Source organism: Homo sapiens, chromosome 7, assembly GCF_000001405.40.
Source record: "Homo sapiens chromosome 7, GRCh38.p14 Primary Assembly".
Classification (NCBI taxonomy): Eukaryota; Metazoa; Chordata; class Mammalia; order Primates; family Hominidae; genus Homo; species Homo sapiens.
Window position 1 is genome coordinate 67,044,070 of NC_000007.14, and position 27,368 is coordinate 67,071,437.

Sequence of the window (27,368 nt, forward strand, 5' to 3'; positions counted from 1 at the left end):
TATTAAAACTCTACTTCATGTATAATTAAGCATGAATAAGAGTTTTTTTTTTTTTTTTTTTGAGATGAAGTCTTGCTTTGTTGCCCAGGTGTGATCTTGGCTCATTGCAACCTCTGCCTGCTAGGTGCAAGTGATTCTTCTGCCTCAGCCTCCTGAATAGCTGCGACCACAAGCGCATGCCACCACGCCTGGCTAATTTTTGTATTTTCAGAAGAGATGGGTTTCATCATGTTGGCCAGGCTGTTCTAGAACTCCTGACCTCAAGTGATCTGCCCGCCTCAGCCTCCCAAAGTGCTGGGATTACAGGTGTGAGCCACCACGTCCGACCTGAGTTTTTAATATTGAAAGTTACCAGGCTTAGAATTAGTTACTAAAAGAAGTATGGTCTAAGTTTCCGGGTCTGGAAATAGCTGTCTGATAGTTTTGAGGCATTTCTTCATTTATTCAACCAACATTTACTGAAGGCCCATCCTGTGCTGGCATGGCTCCAGGCCTAGCCAGGTTGACTGTCTAGAAAAATGACCTCTAGAGAATTTGGGCGTTCTGTAGCCAATCTTCTCTTTTTCTTTTCTTTGAGACAGAGTCTGTTGCCCAGGCTGGAGTGCGGTGGCACCATCTCGGCTCACTGCAACCTCTGCCTCCTGGGTTCAAGTGATTCTCGTGCCTCAGCCTCCCCAGTAGCTGAAATTATAGGCCTTTGCCACCATGCCCGGCTAATTTTTGTATTTTTAGTAGAGATGGGGTTTCACCATGTTGGCCAGACTGGTCTCAAACTGCTGACCTCAGGTTATCCACCCACCTCCACCTCCCAAAGTGCTAGGATTACAGACGTGAGCCACCACACCCGGCCAAGCCAACCTTTTCTATAGGAATTGATAAGAAAAGGAATCACTTGATGGTAAAAAAGGATCAAACAATCAGAAAGACTCTTTCCCAGGAGAAATGTATGTTTTGGTAAGAAAAAGCTTGTTTGTTGTAAAACTCATGTTTGTCAGTTTCCAACTATATAGCATTTTACCTTAAAGTCTTCAGCAAATCAGGTTTTGGCCTTGTTTTTATCCTAGGCAAAATTGGGTGGTACTGTGGTTTCTGGGATGATGGTATCAAAATGAATTAAGTGGTATCGTATGATTTTTTTTTTAAATTTTTTTTATTTTTAGAGACAGGGTCTTGCTTTGTAACCCATGCTAGAGTGCAGTGGTGTGATCATAGCTCACCACAGCCTTGAACTCCTGTGCTCAAGTGATTCTGCCACCTCAGCCTCCCAAGTAGCTCAGATGACAGGCACATGCCACCACACCTGGCTAATTAAAAAAAAATTTTTTTTTTGTAGAGCTGAGATCTCACTATGTTGCCCAGGCTGGTTTCCAATTCCTTGGCTCAACCAGTCTTCCTGCCTTGGCCTCTAAAAGTCCTGGGTTTACAGGCATGAGCCACTGTACCCAACCAGTATCGTATGATATTTAAAACAAAAACAAACAAAAAACATTAGCACCACTGCTTTATTACTATTATTCTGTAAGATTCATGTAGTCCTGTCAGTTTATAAAGAACGTTTTGTGTATTCATTGCCATTTTCATAAGTGCTTAGGAAGTTAGCTCATAATTGCCTTTCCTGGTTGCATGTCAGGCCACTGCAGCTTGGCGAGGACATGAGTTTTCTTTCAAGGCAAGTGTGATGGGTATGGGAGATGGGAGGAGTGGAAGTAGAGGTTGGAGACAGGGAGGCCATTTAGTTTGGCTTTTGCCATTGTCCCTTAGGAGAAATCAAGGCCGTGGACAAGAATGGTGGCATTGTAGATGGAGAGAACAGTTATGTTGGGAAATGAAACCCTAGAACTGTTTTACTGGGCAATGGGCTCACTGCTGGATGTATATAGAAGCCAATACTGTGGCACTGGCTTTTAAAAAAAGAAAGGCTTTATTGGGAGTCGACTGGCAAGGAGATAGGAAGAAACACTCAAATCTGTCTCCCTGAGTTAGAGGCTGGGGCAGGTTTTATAGGCAGAGGGATTAATATGAGGCAGTATAATTAGTGAAGTGTGATCTGATTGGATCTTGCAACGAAGTGAAGCCAGGAGGTGTGATTTGATTGGAGCATGCCGTGAGGTGATGCCAAGACATGATCTGATTGGCGCATGCCCTGAGGTGATGCCGAGGCTTGCTTCTTAATTCTCTCTTTTCCCTGATCCGAGCCCTTTGGTTCTGCTTGTGGTTGACTTTTTAGTTCTGATTGCCTCTGGTATCACGCATTGGGCACACTGGGTTCATCTGTGCTCGAGTTACCTGACCTACAACCTGGGGGTTCGTGGCAACTGAAATACAACTTACTAGTTTACTACACATAATTGAACCAGATTGGGCTAGTTATGTGGTTACAGAACTTGGCCACTCATCTTTAAATGGGATGGTACAGGAGAGGAAGAAATCAAGGTTGGCTGATTCTGGGATCTTATTTATTTCTGTTTAGGCCATGTAACAGCTATAAATGAATAAATACACAAAAATATATGGATCTTACATGGTTGTTATATTGTTACATTCTGGGCAGAGAGTAAACAATGTCTGCACCTAGCAGATTAGAGTTAGAATTTGAATGGTGCATTCAACTCCCTTGCGGAGTGTTATAAACCATTACATTTCTTTTCAGAAACGAAATTACTACTGCATATGGAGGATAGGACTGAGCTGCCTTAGTGGGAAGGAGTGATGAATTTTGTTTGTCCTGAGTGCTCAAGACTTTTAATCATTGCCCTTATGACTGACTCTGGGGTTGCAACACTCACATTTTATAATAGATACTTTCTCTAGTGAAGGGACAGGGACAGTATTCCATGGCCGTCCTTTGGAGTCTGTTCATTTTGTAGGGGACAGAAGTCTCTGTTTAAAACCCCAAGAAGGTGTCTGTGGAGCTTTGGGCATAGTGGTCAGAGGCCAGTGTCATGGACCTCGGTCCAGTTTTGGATTTATCTGGCCTTTGGGTTAAGCAAATAAGCTGGTGATGTTTTGTGGTGACAGAGGCTTTTGAGGGCAAATACTGCCATGTCTTATCAATTTTTTACATGATTTGTAGAGGAATTATAAAGACTTGCTATAGAATTGCTTCAGATAATTTAAATGCTTTCAAGGTTGAGATTTTTTCATTTTGCTTCACCACAAGACTTCTTTATCAAGCTCACACCTTTGCTTTTAGATTAAAAAAAACAAAGCAAACTACTTGGGTAGCTGAGGCGGGAGGGTCGCTTGAGCCCAGGAGTTTGAGACCAGCGTGGGCAACATAGCGAGACTTCATCTCAGAAAACAAAAGGCAAAGGATTCCTTCTATTTTAAACTATCTTAATAAAATAATAACTGGAGCCTTTTTATTTGTATAAAAGGCCTAGCATTAAGCTAATTACATTTATTATAAGAACAAATGATCAATGTTTGTTTATGAATTTTTTCAGCTCCATCCAGTAATGTGTAATTAAGAACCCTATTACTGGAAGCAAAAATGTTCATTTGCCTTGCATTTTGATTATATTTAGTAATTTGGAATGCTGACTTTTAGGACAGATAGGACTTAATGCGACTTTTTTTTTTTTTTCTCATTTGGTACATTTGATTCTCTAAAGTACTTTTTTCACTGATCTCCTATTTCAGAGCATGTCCCTGAAGTAACAGAGAATGTAGAGATATTGACTCCAAATTTCACTTACTTTCTGTGAGTGTCAATTTTTTTTTTTTTTTTTTTTTTTTTTGAGGCAGAGTCTCTGTCGCCCAGGCTGGAGTGCAGTGGCACAGTCTTGGCTCACCGTAACCTCCGCCTCCCGGGTTCAAGTGATTCTCCTGCCTCAGCCTCCCTGGTAGCTGGGATTATAGGTGCCCGCCACCATGCCTGGCTAATTTTTGTATTTTTAGTAGAGACAGGGTTTCCCCATGTTGGCCAGGCTGGTCTCGAACTCCTGACCTCAGGTGATCCACCTGCCTCGGCCTCCCATAGTGCTCGGATTATAGGCGTGAGCCAACGTGCCCAGCCACATATGGGGGACATTGAATGTTCTCAAAAGTACACAGAGTGATATAGTGAATTCTTATTACCTATTGCCTGGCCTCATCAACCAGCAACTTATGGGCCATCCTCCCCTAGGTACCCTTTGTATACCCCTTTCTGTTTTAGTTTGAAGCAAATGTCAGACCTCATCTGTGAGATATTCTCATGTTAAAGTAGAAATGGTGTTACGGTGAGTCCATTCACTTATTCACCTGGGGGCTGGATGGCTGGACATTTAAAATAGACAGGGACCAAGGGTGGGCTGGGGCTTGGTGGTAGGGCCACTGCCTGGATGAGTTATTGTGAATTTCTGCAGCTGTCAGTAAGATTTGATGAGTATCTCCCCTAAAGTGTAACACAGATCTCGTGTGTTGTCTCTGAAATTATTACTCAGCACTCTGCCATTCCCAAAAAGATAGGGAGATATCCCTAAAAATGTACACAAATAAACTTTTAAAAAGAGAAGAAGAAATCAGTGGAAAGAGTGAATGAGGGTCATCTTGTCATATCAAGCCAGTTACAATGAATAGAAGACCAACATGCTGCAAGGTTTTGTAACAGTAATCAAAGGTGTGCTGGTGAAATTTCCTGGTGGCCAAAGTCAACAGGAAACACAATTATTTTTATATTATCCTTTGGATTTCTTAAGTGTTTCTTTTTCTATCACTGAAGAAAAATATCCTGCATAGGATCTTCTAGAAGTAGACATTGGCCAGCAGTTTCAGACCAGCCTGGCCAACATGGCGAAACCCTGTCTATACTAAAAATACAAAAAAATTAGCATGCCTGTAGTCCCAGCTACTTGGGAGGCTGAGGCATGAGAATTGCTTGAACCCGGGAGGTGGTGTTTGCAGTGAGCCAAGATCGTGCCATTGCACTCTGGCCTGGGTGACAAAGCGAGACTCTGTTTCAAAAAATAAAATAAAGGAGAAGGAACCATTGGGATGGCTGTTGGTGGTAGTGGGATAACTTGGTCTCTGAGCCGATGGCTCTCAGGGTGGCTTAGAGTACTTTTTTCATTTGTTTTTGGGGTTTAGAGATGTAATACCAGCAGCAGCTCTAATTTATTGAACGCCTATTGTACATCAGGGGTTGTGCTGTGATTTTATTGCATTTAACCTTCAACATATTTCTTCTCTATTGCTATTATTATTTTTCGCCCTTTTCAGGTGAGGAAATTGAAATTCAGAGAAAATAAACAACTTGCTAAAGTAAGGCAGCTATCTGTACTGAGATTGCTGAAAATGTTTGACACTTAGATAAGTGAATTGTAGATTTATGGTTTTTGGATATGTATGTTTGAGTATATAGTTACTTAACAAAAGAGCATCCTGGCATGTCTTTAGATTGTTGTCTCATTGGGATTGTGTTCACTTTGGAGAGGATGGGTTTTGTGGGCCATGGTTCATAACAGCCCTTTTTAAAAATTTTTTTTTAAATTATTTATAATTATTTATTTTTTGAGATGGAGTCTTTCTCTGTTGCCCAGGCTGGAGTACGGTGGTGTGATCTCGGCTCACTGCAACTTTCGTTTTCTGGGTTCAAGTGATTCTCCTGCCTCAGCCTCCTGAGTAGCTGGGATTACAGGTGTGAGCCACCATCCCCAGCTAATTTTTGTGTTTTTAGTAGAGATGAGGTTTCACCATCTTGGCCGGGCTGGTCTCGATCTCCTGACCTCAGGTGATCCGCCTGCCCTGGCCTCCTAAAATGCTGGGATTACAGGCGTGAGCCACCGTGCCCGGCCTCATAATGGACCTTTTTATTGATGCTAGGTGTTCATGATTGTGCTGTTATTTACATTGCACATTACCAATTCTGGATTTCATTCTTTTTTATTTTAATGCAGAGAGAAAAGGAACAGCAGGAAGAGAAGTCTGGTTTGTTCAGGAACATGGGGAGGAATGAAGATGGTGAAAGAAGAGCTATGATAACTCCTGCTCTCCGAGAAGCCCTTACTAAACAAGGTGAAAATCTTCAAGAATTGTTGTTATATGACTGTAGTCTTAGGCATTCTCATTTGATACCTGGAATGAAGTCTCTCTCTAATTAGCTCAGCAGCTGTTCATAGTGGCAGATATAACAGTCTAAAGATTTACCTTTTTATTTCTGCGGATTGCTTCTGTTGGCTGCCTGCACCAGTGAGTTACCTTTTTTCTTGGTTTATTGGGATATTACTATCAGTGTGGGTCAAGTTCACAGATCAAAAGTGCTGTCATTGGGAAAGCTATTAAAAATGCATAGAAAAGCTTATATGATATGAGACTGGGTTAATTAGAAGTGTTTATGTAGAGGTGTCATATCTGGGTTTTTGTGGTCTTACCTTATTAAGGAGGTTATAGTTGCATGAATGAGTAATAATATTAGTTTCCTGTGGAGGAAAGAGTAGTAAAATGGGAATCAGTAGACCGACCTCCTTTCCTTCATCCCCCTCCCCACTTCCCCTCTATATTTATGAGAGGCCTTTTATGTGACCGTTCTGGCAATGCAGAGAAACACAGGAAACTATATCTGCTTCAAGGAACCGTCGGTCTGGTGCACTAGAGAAATATATATATGTTTGTATTTTAATATCTATGTCTATATTTTAATTAGGGTAGATTATATTAATGTGATTTCATTATAGATTTAAATTTATCTTGCTATTTTCTATTTCATCTGCTTTTTGATTTCCCTTTTCCTGTTTTTCTGTGTTCTTTCAAATTAATTCATTTTTTAAAAATGACTCTATTTTATATTTTGTTTGCTTACTAGCAATAACATTTTCACGAATAGTTGCTCAAGGTTTTACACTATACCTCTTTTTTTTTCTTTGAGACAGAGTCTCTCTCACCCAGTCTGGAGTGCAGTGGCATAATCTTGGCTCACTGCAACCTCTGCCTCCTGGGTTCAAGTGATTCTCCTGCTTTAGCCTCCTGAGCAGCTGGGACTAGAGACATATGCCACCATGCTCAGCTAATTTTTTTGCCATGTTGGCCATGCTGGTCTTGAACTCCTGGCCTCAAGTGTGATCTGCCGCCTCAGCCTCCCAAAGTGCTGGGATTACAGGTGTGAGCCACTGCACCTGGCCTACACCATACTACTTTATCATTTCATAGTATATCTTTGAGTGATGTTATCTCACTCAATGTGTAGAAGAACCTTACAGTACTATACTTCCATTATTTCTTTCTTAACCCATATGTAATTTTTATCACACATTTTACTTTTACTTTTGTTTTTTGGTTGAGTCGGGTCTTGCTCTTTTGCTTAGGCTGGAGTGCAGTGGTATGATCATGGCTCACTGTAGCCTTGAACTCCTGGGCTCAAGGAATCCTCCTGCCTCATCCCCCTGAATAGCTGAGACTACAGGTGTAAGCCACCACACTGAGTGTTTTACGTATGCTCTAAAGCCTACACTTTATTATTATTTTTTTCTTCAACAAAAATACCTATTTTTATATCTAACCCAATCAAAACATCTATTTAATTATGTACTAAAGATTTATATACTTAGAATCTTAGAATCTTACATATTTACTTATGTAGTTACTATTTTCAGTACTCATGTAGTTGCCATGTCTTATTCATGTAGATCTGTGTTCCGTCTGGTATCCTTTTCCATCTGCCTGAAGGACTGTTTTTGTTTTTTTGTTTTTTTTTTTTTTTCTAATTTAAGCTTACCTGTGGCGACTCCAAGGACTTTTTGAACATCTCTTGTAGTGCAGGTTTGTTGGTGGTGAATTCTTTCAGCTTTCGTATATCTGAAAATGGCTTTACTTTGCCTTCATTTTCTATCACTGTGTCTTCAAGTTCAGTAATTTTTTGCTGGATATAGAATTGTAGGTTGACAGCTGTTTTTTCCTTCAGTGTTTTACAGATGTTACTCCACTGTCCTCTTACTCACATTGCTTCTGATTAGAGTTCAGCAATCAGTCATCCTTTTGTTTGTTCCTTTAAATAGGATCCTCCTTCTCCCAACCCCCTGCTACTTGGAAGATTTTCTCTTAAGGCTGATTTTGAGCAATTTAATTATAATGTGCCTCAGTTTAGTTTTCTTCATGTTTCTTTTATTTGGGTTTTGTTGAGTGTCTTGGTTTTGTGGATTTATGGTCTTCATGAAATTCGGACAAATTTTGGCCATTATTTCTTCAAATATTCTCCTCCCCACCCACCCACTTGCTTCCTAGAAGACTACAGTTATATATGTAATAATCTGCTTGAATTTGACCCACAACTCACTCATGTTCTATTCATTTAAAAAAAGTTCTTTCTTCTGTCTCACTTTTCATTTTGGTTAGTTTCTATTGCTATGTTTTCAAGTTCAATAATCTTTCTTCTGTAATGTCTCATGTTCCGTTAATCCTATGTAATATGTTTTTCAACTTAGACATTGTAGTTTTCATTTCTAGAAGTTCAGTTTGGGTCTTTTTATATTTTCCACATCTATTACCTTTTTGAGCCTATAGAAAACAGTTATAACTGTTTTAATGTCCTAATCTGCTAATGTCTTTGTCATTTCTGGATCAGCTTTGGTTGATGGATTTTTTCCCTCATTCGTCATGTTTTCCTGTCTGTTTGCATACTTCATATCTTTGATTGGATGTCAGACCTAATTTTACCTTATTAGGTACTGGGTATTTTTATTTTTATTATTTATTTATTTATTTTGAGACGGAGTCTCACTCTGTTGCCCAGGCCGGAGTGCAGTGGCGTGATCTTGGCTCACTGCAACCTCTGCCTCCCGGGTTCAAGCGATTCTCCTGCCTCAAGTGATTCACCTGCCTCAGCCTCCTGAGTAATTGCGTGCCCACTACCACGCCTGGCTAATTTTTTGTATTTTTAGTAGAGACGGGGTTTTACCGTGTTAGCCAGGATGGTCTCGATCTCCTGACCTCCTGATCTGCCCACCTTGGCCTCCCAAACTGTTGGGATTACAGGCTTGAGCCACGGTGCCTGGCCTGGATATTTTTATATAAACACTCTTATAAACAGTTTTAAGCTTTTTTTTTTTTTTTTTTTTCCTGGGACAAGGTTAAGTTACTTGGAAATAATATGAGCTTTATATCTTACTTTTATGGCTTCTTAGATGAGACAAGAGCTGGCTCAATATGGGGCTAATTATTCTTCACTGTTGAGGCAAAACACTTCTATTTGTAGTCTACCTAATGACTTGTGCATCTTTAGATTTCTAGTCTGACTGGCAGAAGCAGGTACAATTCTCAGCCTGCTGTAAGCATCAGGCATTGCCCCCAGTCCTTCCCTTCCTCTCTCCCTCTTTTCATTTGGGATAGTTTGTTTCTTTTTTTTTTTTTTTTGAGATGGAGTTTCACTCTTGTTGCCCAGTCTGGGGTGCAGTGGTGTGATCTTGGCTCACCACATCCTCCTCCTCCTGAGTTCAAGCGATTCTCCTGCCTCAGCCTCCCGAGTAGCTGGGATTACATGCATACGCCACCACGCCTGGCTAATTTTTATATTTTTAGTAGAGACAGGGTTTCACCATGTTGATCAGACTGTTCTCAAACTCCTGACCTCAGGTGATCCACCCGCCTTGGCCTCCCAAAGTGCTGGGATTTACAGGTGTGAGCCACCATGCCCATCCCATTTGGGATAGTTTCTATCACTGTGTCTTCAAGTTCAGTAATTGTTTCTTCTCTAAATGTCTAGTCTTCCAAAAATGGTTCTTTCCCATCCTTGGGTAGTGTTTCTCTTGTGAATGTGCTGAACAGTACTTGGGCAAATACTTGAGAGAAATCCCCTGTAGACTCTTGGAGTCTCTTTGTAGGTTTCATCTCTCTAGCTTTCAATCCTGCAAACTGTAGCCACCTTTGTCTCCCCAGGCTCTGTTGCATTTTCCAAACTCAAGAGTCCACTGGGCTTCGCTTGGGTAGTCTCTCTTTGCTACATGGCCTGGAAGGTTTCTAGACAGTAAGCCAAGGTAATGGGAGGGCTCACCTTAATTGTTTCCTATCTCTATGGGATCACCATCCTTTGTTGCCTGATGTCTCATGTTCTGAAATCTGTTGTTTCATATATTTTGTCCATTTTTTGGTATTTCAAGTAGGATTGTAAATCCTCTTTGTTATTCCATCTTGGCTAGAAGCAGAATTCCACACTATTATTTTCAGCAACTGTACACTGTTGGCTTATATTTGTGCTGTGGTCAACTACAGATCTCTTCATTCTGTAATGTACAGTTTTTTTTCTTTACCTAAATGCAAAATTTATAGAAACCTATGTATCTTGGGAGAGAAAAATATAAAGAGTTAATATAATAGAGGATGATTTCTATGATAGTATGAACAGTATAATATGGAATTCCAAGAGAAGAACTAGAATTTCCTCTGGGGATCTTTTAAATGCATATTTGGTATCAGAGATGAGTTACTCAATTGGACTCAGTTCCACCTTGGAGTACATAAGCAGTCCTTTGTTTATTTATATGCAAGATGTTTACATAAATACAGAAGAGGATACAAGACAAAGCCCTGTAAATGTTACCACTGGAAACTTGTAATCAAAATTGACATTGCTCCAATAATCATCACAGTATGAATATGGTTGTTTAACCAGCCACTGATCCACTTATGCTGTCATCCAGACTGTATTTCTCCATTTGCCTTATTTGCCTGCAAGAGTCTTTTTGTGAGAGCGACTCATGATAATTGTGGCTTATTACCTGAAGCCTCATGAGAAACGGTATTGAATGCTTTCTGAAATCAGAATGTACTACTTGTTTGTACTACTAGTTTGTTTAAAAAGGAAATGAGATTACTTTGGCCTGGCTTTTTCCATGCTTTTCATGTCCTATGTAGCTCAAAAATTTGAAATGACAGGTTATAGTGCTACTGAGAATTCACGTTTAAGATGTAGTTCCTAGAATTTGATTTTTCTCTCTTTGGGTCAGCATTACTTTGTTTTAATCTCCCATTGACATCTGGTTCTTCATCTTCTTTCAAAGATTACTGATGATAGCTCCCCGTTCATTTGAAATATATCATTACTTTTGTTTTATGGCCCAGCATACCGTTCATTTTTATAAATGTTTCACTGGTCCATGAAAGAATGTAAATTCTATAGTTGATGAGTGCAGGGCTCTGTATGTTTTTGGTCAAGTTTATGTGTTGTGTTGCTTACATCTTTTAGAGCTTTACCGAGTTTTTACCTATGAGATCTGTTAGAGACAGAGAGGTTAAAATCTCCTCGTATAATTTTTGGATTAATTTATTGTTTCATGATTGGGTGTGGTGGCTCACGCTTGTAATCCCAGCACTTTGGGAGGCGGAGGTAGATGGATCACTTGAGGACAGGAGTTCGAGACCAGCCTGGCCAACATGGTGATACCCCATTCCTACTGAAAATACAAAAAAATCAGCCTGGCAGGGTGAAGCACAACTGTAGTCCCAATTACGCGGGAGTCTGAGGCATGAGAATCTATTAAACCCAGGAGGCAGAGGCTGCAGTGAGCTGAGATCACAACACTGCACTCCTGCCTGGGTGACAGAGCGGGACTGTCTTAAAAAAAAAAAAAAAAGATCATTTCTTTATGTATTTTGAGTCTATATTATTAGATACATATAGATTTTAAATTGTTTTCTCATCTTGCTGAATTAAATCTTTAATGTTTCCTGCCATGGGTTGGTTGACTGCAATAATTTAGCAAAAAAAAAAAAAAATTTTTGCTAAATTTTAAAGTCACTTTTTGATATGACGCTTTGGATCAGTCCAACTTTGTGTTCCCTGCTTTTCCACTCAGGTTATCAGTTGATTGGGAGCCACTCGGGGGTGAAGCTTTGCAGGTGGACAAAGGTATTTTTTTTGTTTTTATTCAATATGTCTATTACATGCAACTTTTAAATAGCTATTATTATACACTGTCTATAAATTTACTATTTAGAGGTATAATTTACATTTAATTTGCACAGATTTTTAAATGATTCTTTAAAATGAGTTCAGCAAATTTTGATGTAGAACCTATATTCACCAACTCCAATTAAGATATAAGTTATTATCCCCACCCCAGTGAATTTATTGTGCCCATTTCTAGTCAATAACTCCCTTTCCCTAGGGAATTCTTGTTCTAATTGCTATTACTGTTATTTGGCTTTGCCTTTTTAGAATTTCATATGAGTGGCCAGATGCAGTGGCTCACGCCTGTAATCCTAGCACTTTCGGAGGCCAGGTGGGCGGATCATTTGAGGTCAGGAGTTCGAGACCAGCCTGGCCAAAATGGTGAAACCCCGTTTCTACTAAAAATATCAAAATTAGTCAGGTGTGGTGGTGGGCGTCTGTAATCCCAGCTATTCGGGAGGCTGAGGCAGGAGAATCACTTGAACCCAGGAGGCAGAGGTTTCAGTGAGCCCAGATCTTGCCACTGCACTCCAGCCTGGGTGATAAGAGTGAGATTCCATCTCAAAAAAAAAAAAAAAAAGAATTTCATATGAGTGGAATCATGTAATGTGCAGTCTTTTGCAACTGGCTTCTTAAACTCAACATATTTTTGAGATGCATCCGTGTCGTATCATGTAACATGCATCAGTAGTTCATTCACTTTTATTGCTCAGTAGTATGCCATTGTATGAATATACCAGTTTTTAAAGATCTGTAAATAGACATTTGGTCTGTTTTTAATTTTTGGCTATTATGAAAAAAAGTGCTATGAGCATTCTTCACAAGACTTTGTGAATGTAAATTTCAGTTTTCCTTGGGTAAATGCCTAGAAGTGCAATTGTTAAGTCATAGAGTAGGTATATATTTAACTTTAGAAGAAACTCCGAAACTGTTGTCAGTGTGGTTGTACTACTTTATACTTGCTCAGCAATTTATGAAAGTTCCATTTGTTGCACATTCTCACCATCATGTGGTATTGTCTTTTAATTTTAGGCATTTTCATGGTTGTGAAGTGGTTGTGAAGTGGTACCTCATTGAGTTTTTTCTTTTCTTTTTTTTTTTTTTGAGATGGAGTCTCGCTCTGTTGCCATCCTGGAGTACAGTGTCATGATCTTGGCTCACTGCAACCTCCGCCTCCTGGGTTCAAATGATTCTCCTGCCTCAGCCTCCCTAGTAGCTGGGACTACAGGCGCGCACCACCACGCCCAGCTAATTTTTCTATTTTTAGTAGAGATGGGGTTTCACCATGTTAGCCAGGATGGTCTTGATCTCTTGACCTCGTGATCTGCCCACCTCGGCCTCCCAAAGTGCTGGGATTACAGGTTTGAGCCACCGTGCCTGGCCCTCATTGTGGTTTTAATTTACATTTTGCTGGTGATGGTTGATGATTGGGAACATTTTTTTTGTTTTTTTTTTTTCGAGACAGAGTCTCGTTGTCTCACCCAGGCTGGAGTGCAGTGGTGCAATCTTGTATCACTGCACCTCCTGGGTTCAAGTGATTATCATGTCTCAGTCTCCTGAGTAAGTGGGATTACAAGCGTGTGCCAACACGCCCAGCTAAGTTTTGAATTTGTGTATTTTTAGTTGAGACGGGGTTTCACTATGTTGGCCAGGCTGGTCTCAAACTCCTGACCTCAAGCGATCCATGCACCTCAGCCTCCCAAAGTGCTGGGATTATAGGCGTGAGCCACCATGCCCAGCCAAGAACATCTTGTGTTGTGCGTATTGGCTGTTTATACTTGTGAAATGTCTGTTCACATCTTTGTTCAAACTTGGTTGTTTGACTCTATATTATTGATTTCTAGAAGTTCTTTATATGTTGTGGATGTGAATCTTTTGTTGAATGTGCATTGTGAATATTTCTCTAGACTGTGGCTTTTCTATTTCCATAAAGGTATCTTTTGAAAATTTTAATTTGGATACAGTTCACTATATCATATTTTTCTTTTATGGTTAGTGTTTTTTGTATTTTAAGACATTTCTGCCAACCACAAGGTCACAAAGATATTCTAGATTTTCTTCTAGAAGCTTCGTCGGCTCACTGCAAGCTCTGCCTCCCGGGTTCACGCCATTCTCCTGCCTCAGCCTCCCGAGTAGCTGGGACTACAGGCACCCGCCACCATGCCCGGCTAATTTTTTGTATTTTTAGTAGAGACAGGGTTTCACCGTGTTAGCCAGGATGGTCTCAATCTCCTGACCTCGTGATCTACCCGCCTTGGCCTCCCAAAGTGCTGAGGTTACAGGCGTAGGCCACTGCGCCTGGCCTACAGGTTTGATTTTTGTCTGTCGTTTTTCTTTAGGTGAAAATGACAAATTCAGTTTCTTTTTTCACTGCCATAGCAGGTCTTTAGTTTTGATACAGAAGTTATATAAACATATTGTCCCCAGACTTCAATGTCTGTATTCCTAGAGCGGTGTGGCAGGAGCTCTTCAGGGGGTCATTGGCCGAGGGGGCGGACAGAGTTGCTTGGGCAGATTCCTCCTAAGCAACCTGTGTGGAAGAAGCCATTTTTAAAAATTGTTTATTTTTTTGAGGTAGAGTCTTGCCCTGTCATCCAGTCTATAGTGTAGTGGTGCAATTTCGGCTCACTGCAGCCTCCCACCTCCTGGGCTGAAGTGATCCTCCCTCCTCAGCCTCCCAAGTAGTGTGCCACCATGCCTGGCAAAAGTTTTTTTTTTGTATTTTTTGTAGAGACAGGGTTTCATCATGTTGCCCATGCTGGTTTTGAACTCTTGGACTCAGGTGATCTGCCTGCCTTGGCCTCTGAAAGTGCTGGGATTATAGTCATGAGCCACTGTGCCTGGCCCCATATGTAGTTTTAACTTTTATGTTTGGGCCTGTGATTCGTCTTGAATCAATTTTTATGAATGATGTGAGGTAAAGGTTAAGATTTATCCCACCTCTGCCAATATGGATATCCAGTTGTTTTGGCACCATTTGTTGAAGACTTTTGTCAACCTGAATAACAAACAGAGAGGGGCTCTCTAGAAGAAAATGATGGTTATTTTGGAATAGAGCATTGCAATGGGAATATGCAAGCCACAGTAAACTGTGTTTTTGGGGAGGTACAGGAAGACAGTATACTTTTTAATGTTTTGTGAGTTAGTATAAGTCAATGAAGACAAAGTTTTTTTTTTTTTTTTTTTTTGAGACAGGGTCTCGCTCTGTCACCCAGGCTGGAGTGCAGTGGTGTGATCTCAGCTTACTGCAGGCTCTGCCTCCCAGGTTCACACCATTCTCCTGCCTCAGCCTCCTGAGTAGCTGGGACTGCAGGCGCCCGCCACCACTCCCGGCTAATTTTTTTTTTGTATTTTTAGTAGAGACGGGGTTTCACCTTGTTAGCCAGGATGGTCTCGATCTCCTGACCTCGTGATCCACCTACCTTGGTCTCCCAAAGTGCTGGGATTACAGGCGTGAGCCACCGTGCCTGGCCAAAGACAAAGATTTTTAAAGGAAAAATTGAGGAGGATTATGTAATTGTTTTGAAATAATTATCATTGGCTGCAAAGATCAGTAACAAGGGTGACGGCAGTCTGAGGGTAGGCTGGCAGTTGCTGGGCAGATGACGTTGGCAGAGAAGCATTTTTTTGTATAAGGTCGTGGTAGCCTTTGTGCAAGGTTGTGGTTTTTGTAGAGTCTTTTTCATTACCAGGCATACAAGATAACTCTCCTCATGGTCTTCCCTGCTTCTGTTTTTCTTAACATTAGTGATTCCATTCTGATTTTGACAACTTTTACATTTCTTCCTTTTGATCAAGATCTTTCTCAGAAAGCATGACTGATCATTCATCTTGTAGTTATTTTTATTTATTTATTTTTTTGAGACAAAGTGTTTCTCTGTCACCCAGGCTGGAGTGCAGTGGTGTGATCTCGGCTCCCTGCAACCTCTGCCCCCTGGGTTCAAGCAATTCTCCTGCCTCAGCCTCCTGAGTAGCTGGGATTACAGGTATGCATCACCACGCCTGGGTAATTTTTGTATTTTTAGTAGAGACAGGGTTTCACCATGTTGGCCAGGCTGGTCTCGAACTCTTGATCTCAAGTGATCTACCTGCCTTGGCCTCCCAAAGTTCTGGGATTACAGGTGTGAGCCACCGTGCCCGGCCCTGTAGTTATGTTTTTTTTTTGAGACTGAATCTCACTCTGTCGCCCAGGCTGGAGTACAGTGGCGTGATCTTGGCTTACGGCAACCTCTGCCTTCCAGGTTCAAGTGATTCTCCTGCCTCAGCCTCTGGAGTAGCTGGAATTACAGGCAATTGCCACCACTCCCAACTAATTTTTATATTTTCAGTAGAGACGGGGTTTTGCCACGTTGGCCAGGCTGGTCTTGAACTCCTGACCTCAAGTGATCCGTCCGCCTTGGCCTCCCAAAGGTGGGATTATAGGCATGAGCCACTGTGCCTGGCCCAGATTCAAAGTTTAGAAAGGGAAAATAAAAGGTAAACTTAATATGACAATGTCAGTTTGCATAATGGCTTTGAGTTGTGAATCTAGGCTTAAAGAAAACAAATTGAATAAGTTAAATCACCATAGGGAATTAGAAGAGACCTGCTGTAACCCTATGAGCTGTTTTGTTTTGTGTATATGGGTTTCAGCTTTCCCAGAGGAATTTATCCAGGTACAGCTTGTAATATTAGAAACAGCACAGACATTTTCTTATTTAATGAATCGATACAAAAGTATTTCTTAAGTTAGGTTTTGTTAACTCACCAGCAGAGGCTATTGATTATAAAATTTCAATTACACTGTTAGTCTGCCAAGTGAGAAAAGTAGCATTAAGAGGAGTAAAAGTCTCATTATGATATGAAGTTCTTATTCCAACCTCTTGGAGAAAGCTGTTTACAGTGTGAAAATAGCAACTTTTTCTTCTGGTTTGTAGTTTGAATATCTTTGGTCATGACATTGGGCAGTTGGGTGAACCTTTTTTGTGGTTCATAAATCAGACATGAGGCTTGTTTCTTAAAATTTATCCAGTTTCAGCCGGGCACCAGTTGTTCACACCTGAAATCCCAGCACTTTCAGAGGCCAAGGCTGGCAGATCACTTGAGGTCAGGAGTTCAAGACTAGCCTGGCCAACAATGTGAAACCCCGTCTCTACTAAAAATACAAAAGTTAGATGGGTGTGGTGGTGTGTGCCTGTAGTCTCAGCTACTCGGGAGGCTGAGGCACGAAAATCATTTGAACCCGGGAGGTGGAGGTTGCAGTGAATCATGATTGCACCACTGCACTCCAGCCTGGTCGAGAGAGTGAGACTCCATCTCAAAAAGAAAAATTATCTAGTTTCAGCTAATAAAGCTTTTTAAGCCAGCTGGAGAATTGTGACCAAGTATTGGAGGAAATTAGAAGAATTCAGAATCTAGTCCAGTCTACACGTAGATAACAAGAACTTTAAAACAATGCACGGGGCTACAAACTGTAATAAGAATAGGTATATTACAGTTTTTCTATAGAGACATAACTTTTTCTTCCCACATTGATCACACAGGAATCTCAGATTTAAAAACCTCCTGAGCTAGGAAGCCAAACCAGGGCAGATTTTAGATCTTACGTACAATCTTAAGGATCTTTGGCCTTCCAGGAAGTGACCATTTTTACTGACTCACTGGAAGTCTGGGAACTCTGGAAGCCAGGCATTCAATGCACATTTTCAAATAAGACATTTCAGCCAAAGCCTTGGTGGTATATAACCGATGTTTATATTTCTAATTGTATCCTACTTGAGAGCAGATTTTTATTGAATTTATATAAATAAAAATAAGAATACTAATGGTTGGTGAATTTTGGGAGGAATCCAATAGGGAGGAAAAGCAAATGGTTCCATCTTTGTTCACAAAAGTATGCTTTACCAAATTGTTGTATACTATAGATAGCTTATGCGAGAAAAATGTCTTAAATCTGTAAGACAAAATATTTTAAGTAAAGAACCAAAAATGAAAAGTCACAAACACATCATCGTCATTAATTACTTAATTTGAAGTCATTAAATTTTAGTTTTGCTTGATCTTGATTAGCAGTTTTATGGAGCAGTGCCGTTGTACTGTGAGGTTGGCCATTAACAGTTTTATGCACCAATCAGTTTTTAAAATATATTAGAGTTCTGGAAGTTGTCATTTAGTCCATTGATCTTAAAATTATCAGAAATGTGTTCAAGAGTACTTGTTGGGCTGGGTGCGGTGGCTCACCCCTGTAATTCCAGCACTTCGGGAGGCTGAGGTGGGCGGATCATGAGGTTAGGAATTTGAGACCAGCCTGGCCAATATGGTGAAACCCTGTCTCTACTAAAAATACAAAAATTAGCTGGGCGTAGTGGTGGGCGCCTGTAGTCGCAGCTACTCAGGAGGCTGAGGCAGAAGAATCACTCAAACCCGGGAGGCGGAGGTTGCAGTGAGCCAAGATTGCACCACTGCACTCCAGTCTGGGCAACAGAGACTCTGTCTTAAAAGAAAAAAAAAAAGTACTTGTTGAAGTCATTTCCATAAAAAGCAGTTTTGGAATGTAGCTGATTGCAGATGTTTTCTGCAATCACCCAGATGTAGCCCATCTGCAGTCACCCAGATGTCACCCAGATATAGCCTGGGTGACAGAGCGAGACTCCGTCTCAAAAAAAAAAAAAAAGAAAAGAAAACACAAATCATCAGTATCAGGAATGAAACAATATTATTACAGGTCCTGCAGCGATTGAAAGGATGATAAGGGAGTGCTGCAAACAATTTTATGTTAGTAAATTTGGCAACTTAGGTGAAATACATCTATTCCTCAAAAACCGTAACTTATTAAAACTCAACCAAAATATATAATCGGAATAATCCTGTAATCATTGAAGAAACTGATTTTGTAATTAAAAGCCTCCCCAAAGTGATATCCTAGTTTTCAATGGTTTTCCTGAAGAATTCTACCAAATATTTAATGAAGAATTAATGCCAGTTTTACTTAATATCTTCCCCAAAATACAAGAGGTGGGGAACATTTCTGAACTCATTTTATGAGGCCAATAGTAACCCGATAAAACCTGACAAAGACAATGCACTAAAAGAGAACTAAAGACTAATCTCTCAGGAATTTAGATGTAGAAATCCTCAACAAGATATGAGCAAATTGAATTCAGCCAAGTATAGAAAGAATTATATGCCATAACCAAGTGGAATTTTTCCCAGGTATGCAAGGCAGGTTCAACATTTAAAAACCAAAGCAATCCACCATATCAAACATGCTAAGAAGAAAAATATCAGTCAGTCATATCAATTGATTCTGAAAAAGCATTTGGCAGAGTCTAACCCTTCATCATTAAAAACTCTTAGCAAGTTAGAAATAGAGGAATATTAACCTCTACAAAATTCTTACAGCTAACATCATACCTAATATGAGAGAGTAAATGCTTTTCCCATTAGATTGGGAACAAGACAAGTATGTCTGTGTTCACCACTCCTGTTTTACATAGTATTGTAAATTCTAGCCACTGGAATTAGTCAAGAAAAAGAAAATGCATACAGGTTGCAAAGGCAGAAATAAAGCTGTCTTGTTTTGCAGGTGACGTGATTGTTATGTAGAAAATCTCAAGGAAATGACAAATAAATTTCCTAGAACCTGAGTTCAGCAAGGTTACAGGATACAATATCAAAGCACAAAAATCAGTTGTATTCTGTATTTTTTTTTTTGAGGCGGAGTCTCGCTCTGTCACCCAGGCTGGAGTGTAGTGGCGCGATCTCGGCTCACTGCAAGTTCCGCCTTCCAGGTTCCCGTCATTCTCCTGCCTCAGCCTCCCTAGTAGCTGGGACTACAGGTGCCCGCCACCAAGCCCAGCTAATTTTTGTATTTTTAGTAGAGACGGGGTTTCACCATGTTAGCCAGGATGGTCTTGATCTCCTGACCTTGTGATCCGCCCACCTCAGCCTCCCAAAGTGCTGGATTACAGGCGTGAGCCACTGTGCCTGGCCGTATTCTGTATATTAACAATGAACATATGAAAACCAAAACTAAAAAGTTCATTTACAGTCACTCCAACGAAAGTAATATGCTTCGATTTACATTTAACAAAACATACACAGGACTGGATGCTGAAAATTTTTAAAATGCTGATAAAAAATAAATGAAAATCTAAACAAATAGACATACCATGTTCATGGATTAGAAAACTCAGTATAATAAACTGTCAATTCTCCCCAAATTGATTCTGTAGGTTGAATGAAGTTCTTACAAAAATACCAATAAGATTTTTGTAGAAATAGGCAAACTTATTCAAGACTTGAAAGACACAGGCCCTAGAATAGCTTAAACAATGTTGACAAAGAAGACAGAAATGGGAAGAATAGTTCACTCTGATCTTGTAGCTTACTATATTGTTGCAGTTATCAAGATGGTGTGGTACTACTGGTAGAGAGATAGACATATAAATCAAGGGAAAGACTAGAGATCTCAGAAATAGACTCACAAAATATGTTTAACTGGGTTTTTACAAAAATGCAAAAGCTGTTCTGTATTAGTCCGTTTTCATGCTGCTGATAAAGACATACCCAAGACTGGGAAGAAAAAGAGGTTCAATTGGACTTACAGTTTCACATGGCTGGGGAGGCCTCAGAATCATGGCAGGAGGCAAAAGGCACTTTTTACATGGTGGTGGCAAGAGAAAATGAAGAAGCAAAAGTGGAAACCCCTGATAAACCCATCGGATCTTGTGAGACTTATTCACTATCACAAGAATAGTACAGGAAAGACTGACCCCTGTGATTCAGTTCCTCCCCGGGTCTCTCCCACAACACGTGGGAATTCTGGGAGATAAATTCAAGTTGACATTTGAGTGGGGACACAGCCAAACCATTTCAAGTTCCATGGTGAAATTTTCAACAAATGCTGCTGGAGCAATTAGATAACCATAGGCCAAAACCAACAGAAAAAAATAAAAGACCCAAATACTGCTCCCCGCAACAAATTCCGAAAAAGAGTGTCTTAAACTTCACACCTTATATAAAAATTAATTCAAAATGGATCACAGACTTAAACATTTGGAGACATCATTTTTTAAAACGAAAAACATTCCATCCTCTTCTCACATGCTTCTATGCCTGTGTCTTACAGAGTCCTTTTGAAAAATCCTTTTAGTCCTTCAGTATTGGATTTGGACCGCACACCTCTGGGAAGCTCTCACTGGTCCTTTGGTGAAGCTACCTTGGTTGCTTTTCCATCTTATGGGCTCTAGTCCTTACATGATCTGTCCTCTGTGCACATGCAGAGAGATCTCTGGTCTCTCTTCCTGTTCTTATAAGGACGGTAGTTCTGTCAGATTTTGGTCCCATTCACGTGACCTCACTTAACCTTAAATACCTCATTAAAGAGCCTATATCCACATGCCGTTGCATTGCATTGAAGTTTAGGACTTCAACCTGAATGGGACAGGGGAGCACAGGGCAGTTCAGAACAAAGTGTATTAACTTCTTAATCAATAGTGATTGAAGTGTACAGTTCTTCAGCTTTGTTTCTCTAGTGGCATGAGATTTTGTGGAAATTACTCTGTGACTCTGGCATTTGTTGGACGTTTCGGTTTTCAGTGCTATTTACAAGATTTGAATGTTTTGTTTGCTGCCTTGTACATTTTATTAGGAACTTGGAAGAGGTTTGTAGGCACAGGTTTTCCCTTCACACCTTTTTTTCAAATGCAGTACTAATATGGACAGGGAAACTTTTTTTTTTTTTAATTAAAACAAAAAATAGTTAAAAGGCTTCATGGTCAACTGACAGTAAATAAGCTAGTAGACATTTATGTAATATTCTTTCATTGTGGACAGGCTTATATTAATAACAGTACTTTGGGAGGTCGAGGTGGGCGGATCACTTGAGGTCAGGAGTTCAAGACCAGCCTGACCAATATGGTAAAACCCTGTATCTACAAAAAATACAAATACTAGCTGGGCGTGGTGCCGCATGCCTATAATCCCAGCTACTTGGGAGGCTGAGGCAGGAGAACCGCTTGAACTGGGAGGCGGAGGGTGCAGTGAGTTGAGATCACACTACTGCACTCCAGCCTAGGTGACAGAGTGAGACTACACACACACACACACACACACACACACACCCACACCCCTATACACGTGTAAAGGCTACTCATTCGTGTCTCTGCTTTCCTTCTCCTTGTTCGTTGTTGGTATTATTAATTCCATATTATTTCAGTCACTTGGCCTCAAAATCAGTTATTTTGGATGACTTCCTCTGTTTTGCTCCTCAGTGGGGAATGACATTGATTTCACTTCTTTAGTACCCTACCTGTCCCACTGATCTTAGGAGAAAGTCATCATTACCTGTCTCACATAACCTCCTCCCAGGCTTCACTGCTTTCACTTGTACTGAAATCAAGCTTGTCTTACCCAGAGCTCTGGACAGATCTGATTTTACCTTTTAAAGCTTGATATTATCTTGATTCCAACCCTGGTTGATCTAGACATTTTTTTAGATTACCTTCTTACTACATGTACCAACTTATATGACTCGTGATATTTGTTTTTATCCCTTGCATCATCAAATAGTGATCTTTTTGGAAATGGGAATAATGTATTTCTTGTATACCTGCTGCTTGCTTCCACAATGTCTCAAATATGTATGCTCCAGGGCTGGGCACAGTGGTTTGCTCACAACTGTAATCTTAGCATTTGAAGAGGCTGAGGTGGGAGGATCGCTTGAGACCAGGAGTTCAAGACCAGCCTGGGCAACATAGTGAGACCTCATCTCTACAAAAAATTAAAAAATAACCAGGCATGGTGGCTCACACCCATAGTCCCAGCTACTTGAGAGTCTGAGGCAGGAAGATTGCTTGAACCCAGGAGTTGGAGGTTGCAGTGAGCTATGATTGTACCACTGCACTCCAGCCTAAGGAACAGAGCAAGACCCTGTCTCAAAACAAAACAAAGGAACAACACTCCAGGATGCATTCCCTTACCCATCCTTCTTTATTCAGAGCAGGGATATGCTTGCATAGGCAGACAGCCCCCATTTTTTAGGAGTCTGTTTTATCTGTTTCCTAGCATTATATATTATTGTATTAATGTTATTTGAAGGAGTCTGATGGATTTGAAAATGAAAGCATTAGTGGTTCTCCCTGTAGAGTTTTCAGAGTTAATGAATCATAGGTTTATTTCACTGGGCTTTAGTAAAAACCCAAAGCACTGCCAAAACACTGAAATGCTCTGATGCGAATTTCCTGCGTCATGCAGTTACCAGTAGGAGTATTCATGGTTACGAAACACATGGTTTCTCTTAAAAATGATGCCTTGGTGGTTTGTTTCTGTGCTTTGACAATTTTATTCAAATTGTGATTTGTTTACTTGTCATAGTCCATGCTCCGAGGGAGAGGAGGTTGTTACAAACACACATTCTATGGAATTGAGAGCCATCGCTGCATGGAAACCACCCCGAGCTTGGCGTGTGCTAATAAATGTGTCTTCTGTTGGCGGTAAGTAAAAATGAAAGGTCATGGTGATCGAATATGTAATGAGCTGTGGTAATCAATCTGCCCAGCTCACACTCAGACTTACCTAAGAGCTCTGCTGTCTTGGTGATTAATCTTTTCAACTGTGAATGTTAGTGTATAAAAATTTTGTAGACAAATATTTTTGTTTCTCTTGGACAAACACTGTGAGGAATTGCTGGATTTGTAAACATCCATTTGGACAGTTTGTCTTTTTTAACTGGTGAGTTTAGTTTGTCTTATTTATAGTGATTATCGATAAATAGTGATACATTAGTGATAAAAGTTTATTTTTATTCTATCCTTTTGTGCTTTCTGTTTATCTTGCTCTCCTACATTGTTTTCTTTTTTTTCTATCTATGACTAATTTTATGCTAAGGTGTCAGCTTGGGTGTCTTTTTATTGGAGGCTTTTCAGTTTATCTTGCTGGAAATACAAGCAGTGAATGTTGTTTTTCAGCTGGTTACAGCCCATTGTATGCAGAATTGAGTCTTTTACAACAATTGGGAATAGTTTAAGTGAAAGAAAATGGCTAAATTGCACAATTCTGTCTCTCTCTTTTTGGGGGCAGTGGTGCTTGCTACTAACCCATTTCTTTTTCTTTTCTTTTTTTTTTTTTTGAGATGGAGTTTCGCTCTTGTTGCCCAGGGTGGAGGGCAATGGCGTCATCTTGGCTCACTGCAACCTCTGCCTCCCAGGTTCAAGTGATTCTCCTGTCTCAGCCTCCCAAGTAGCTGGGACTACAGGTGCGCACCACCATGCCCAGCTAATTTTTGTATTTTTAGTAGAGATGGGGTTTCACCATGTTGGCCAGGCTGATTTTGAACTCCTGACCTCAGGTGATCCGCCCGCCTTGGCCTCCCAAAGTGCTGGGATTACAGGCGTGAGCCACCGCACCCAGCCTACTAACCCATTTCTTTCCTTCACTTAGAACTGCTTACTCTTCAACTCCTAGTTCTCTATGCCAACTCACATCTCCATAGCAGCTCATGTTGTTGTGGTCACTAATGACTTCCTTACTATCAGATCTAATAGAAGCTACTTAATTCTTATCTTAGTTGAACTCCAGTGAAGCATGCTAGGAAAGAAGGGGGAGGCCACTCCTTCTGTTGGATTCAGAGATACCAGTCTCTTCTAGTACCCCACCCACCCTTGTCAGTTTCTTTTCAGTTTCCCCTGTTAGCTCTTCTTTCTGCTTCTGTCCTTCAGCTGTCTTTTATGACTCTGTGTTATGATGGTAGGAGAAGTAAACCATTTCCGTGGCTTCATTTATCTGTAGTTTGACACCTTTAAATACTTCATCTCCAGTCTCAGTCTCTTTTCTGAGTTTTCCTTCTCCATTTCCAATTTCCTGTTGCATATCTTCTCTTGGATCATCCGCAGTCATTTCAAGCTTAATGTATTTATCATGGAATTTATTAGGCTTGTGTTAACTTGTTCTGTTTTGGGTAATGGCACTATTAGCCATCTAATGGCCCAGACTGGACATTTCTTCTCTTTTTCTCAAACCCACTGTATCCATTTGCTTATCTAATTCTATTGATTATGTTTCAGATTCTCATTATTTCTTCCTTTAGCAACCAAAATGATTTAATACTTTCTAGTCAATGTCATCTCTTAATTTATCTCCATATTTGCACAAGAGTTATAATTCTTTTTTTTTCCAGTTATTCCTAAAAATTTTGTTTTGATTATTATAAATGCTTATAATAACTTGATTTGGGGGTGATTTTGTTATGATTATTTGGGGGTTACAAATAAATTTTAGCAAGTAGACAATGTTACAAATATGAAATCAGATATTAATGGGATTGACTATTTTGAATTGGTAAACTATTTTGAATTGATATTATTTGACTCAATAGCAGTCAAAAACTTTGCCCATAAACAGCTCTGTCCCTCCTCCTTTATGTCATTGTCACAAATGACAACTTTATATACTGTATGCCCATTAACATAGATTTATAATTGCTGTTTTATACATTTGTCTTTTACATCATCAAGAGAAAAAATAGAGGAGTTACAATCCAAAAATACTGGCCAGGTGCAGTGGCTTATGCCTGTAATACTAGCATCTTGGGATGCCAAGGTGGGTGGAGCATTTGAGCCCAGGGGTTCAAGACCTGTCTGGGTAACATGACGAAACCTTGTCTCTACGAAACTTGCAAAAATTCGCCGGGCATGGTGGTGCATGTCTGAAGTCCCAGCTACTCCAGAAGGCTGAGGTGGGGGTGATCATAAGCCTGGGAGGTGGAGGGTGCAATGAGCCTTGATTGTGCCACTGCACTCCAGCCTGGGTGGCAGAGCAAGACCCTGTCTCAAAACAAACAAATGAAAAACAAACACAAACAAAAATCCAAAAATACAACAGTGGTGACTTTTGTATTTACCTATGTATTTTACCTTTATGTTGTTCTTTGTATATTTGTATGATATGGGTCTGTTTAGTGTCCTTTCATTTTTGTCTGAAGGACTCCCTTTAGTATTTATCGTAGGGCAGGTCTGTTAGCAGTGAACTCCCTCAGCCTTTATTTATCAGTGTCTTAATGTCTCCTTCAGTTTTGAAGAATTGTTTTGTTAGATATAGAAATCTAGACTGACAGTTTTTTTCTTGTAACATTTTAAATATGCTCTCCCACTGCCTTCTGGCCTCCATGGTTTCTGCTGAGAAATTGGCTGTTAATTTTACTAAGGATCCCTTATATGTGATGAGTGCCTTCTCTCTCGCTTCTTTCAAGTTTCTTTCTTTGTCTTATTCTTCCAACAGTTTGATTATAACATATCTTGGTATGGATCTCTTTGTGTTTGTACTACTTAGAGTATGTTGAGCTTCTTAGTTCTGTGAATTCAAGTCTTCTACCAAATTTGGGAATTTTTCAATAATTATTTCTTCACATGTTCTTTCTGTTCCTTCTTATCTCCTTCTGGAACTTTTATTATGCATATGTTGGTATGCTTGATGGTGTCCCCCAGCTCTTTTCAATTTGATGGTGTCCTAAGGCTCTGTTCAATTTTCTTCACACTTTTTTTTTTCTACTTAGACAAGATAATTCCAAATTGATTTGTCTTCCACTTCACTGAGGTTTTTCTTTGGCCTGTTCAAATCTTCTGTTGAAACCCTCTAGTGAAGTCTTCATTTCAGTTATTATTCTTTCACATCTTCTGTTTGGTTCCTTCTTATCATTTGTATCTCTTCATTGATATTCTGGATTTGTTTAGACATTGTTTTCTTGGTTTCCTTCATCTCTTTGTCCATGGTTTCCATTAGCTCTTTGAGCATGTTTAAGATAGTTGGCTTAAAGTATTTTTTTAGTTGGTCTAATGCCTATGCCTCCTCAGGGAGAGTTTTTCCAATACATGCTGGGAATACACACTTGTTTCTTTGCATGGTTTGTATGCAAAGAAATGTTTTGTTGAAAACTGTATATTTTGGCCTGGCACGGTGGCTCATGCCTGTAATTCCAGCACTTTGGGAGGCTGAGGTGGGCAGCTCACGAGATCAGGAGATTGAGACCATCCTGGCTAACACAGTGAAACCCTGTCTCTTCTAAAAATAGAAAAAATTAGCCGGGCGTGGTGGTGGGCGCCTGTAGTCCCAGCTACTCGGGAGGCTGAGGCAGGAGAATGGCGTGAACCCGGGAGGTGGAGCTTGCAGTGAGCCTAGATCGCGCCACTGCACTCCAGCCTGGGCAACAGAGCAAGACTCCGTCTCAAAAAAAAAAAGGAAACTGCATATTTTGATTATTAGAATGTGTTAACTCTGGAAGTCAGATTTTTCTCACTCTTCAGGGTTTGTTTTTTATTGCTTGCTCTGGGTTTTGTTTGTTTAGTGAGTTTTCTAAACTATATTTGTAAAGATTTTATTCTTTGTTTTATATTATCTCTGAAGTCTGTGTCTTAAGCTCAGGGGTCAGCTAATGATTTGACAGAGATTTCCTTGAGCTCATGGAGCCAAAGAAAAAAAATTGGAAAAAAAAAAAAAAGCTTCTCCCAGTCTTTGCAGATTGACTCTGTCTTGG

At 40.2% G+C, this 27,368-nt stretch overlaps 1 protein-coding gene across 6 annotated transcripts in view, besides 1 other annotated feature; it reads left to right on the plus strand.

Moving 5' to 3' along the window:
* The window catches only part of TYW1 (tRNA-yW synthesizing protein 1 homolog), a 242,682-nt gene that overhangs the window by 47,237 nt on the left and 168,077 nt on the right, over positions 1-27,368 (plus strand). For 4 of the 6 annotated variants that reach the window (NM_018264.4, XM_011516372.4, XM_047420568.1 and 1 more), the window contains exons 8-10: positions 5,880-5,997; positions 11,766-11,818; positions 23,216-23,334. In NM_018264.4, the coding sequence (NP_060734.2) occupies positions 5,880-5,997; positions 11,766-11,818; positions 23,216-23,334 (290 nt within the window). The remainder of the gene's footprint in view (positions 1-5,879; positions 5,998-11,765; positions 11,819-23,215; positions 23,335-27,368) is intronic. The other 2 variants (NR_134540.2, XM_017012392.3) reach the window with 2 other exon arrangements.
* Positions 13,552-13,732: a silencer, noted in NCBI's record as "fragment chr7:66522608-66522788 (GRCh37/hg19 assembly coordinates)". NCBI's record gives its function as "represses an EF-1alpha promoter that drives an FKBP-Casp9 reporter gene in an ReSE screen in both phorbol 12-myristate 13-acetate-treated (for megakaryocytic differentiation) and untreated K562 erythroleukemia cells {active_cell/tissue: K562 | K562(+PMA)}" and the evidence as "EXISTENCE:reporter gene assay evidence [ECO:0000049][PMID:32094911]".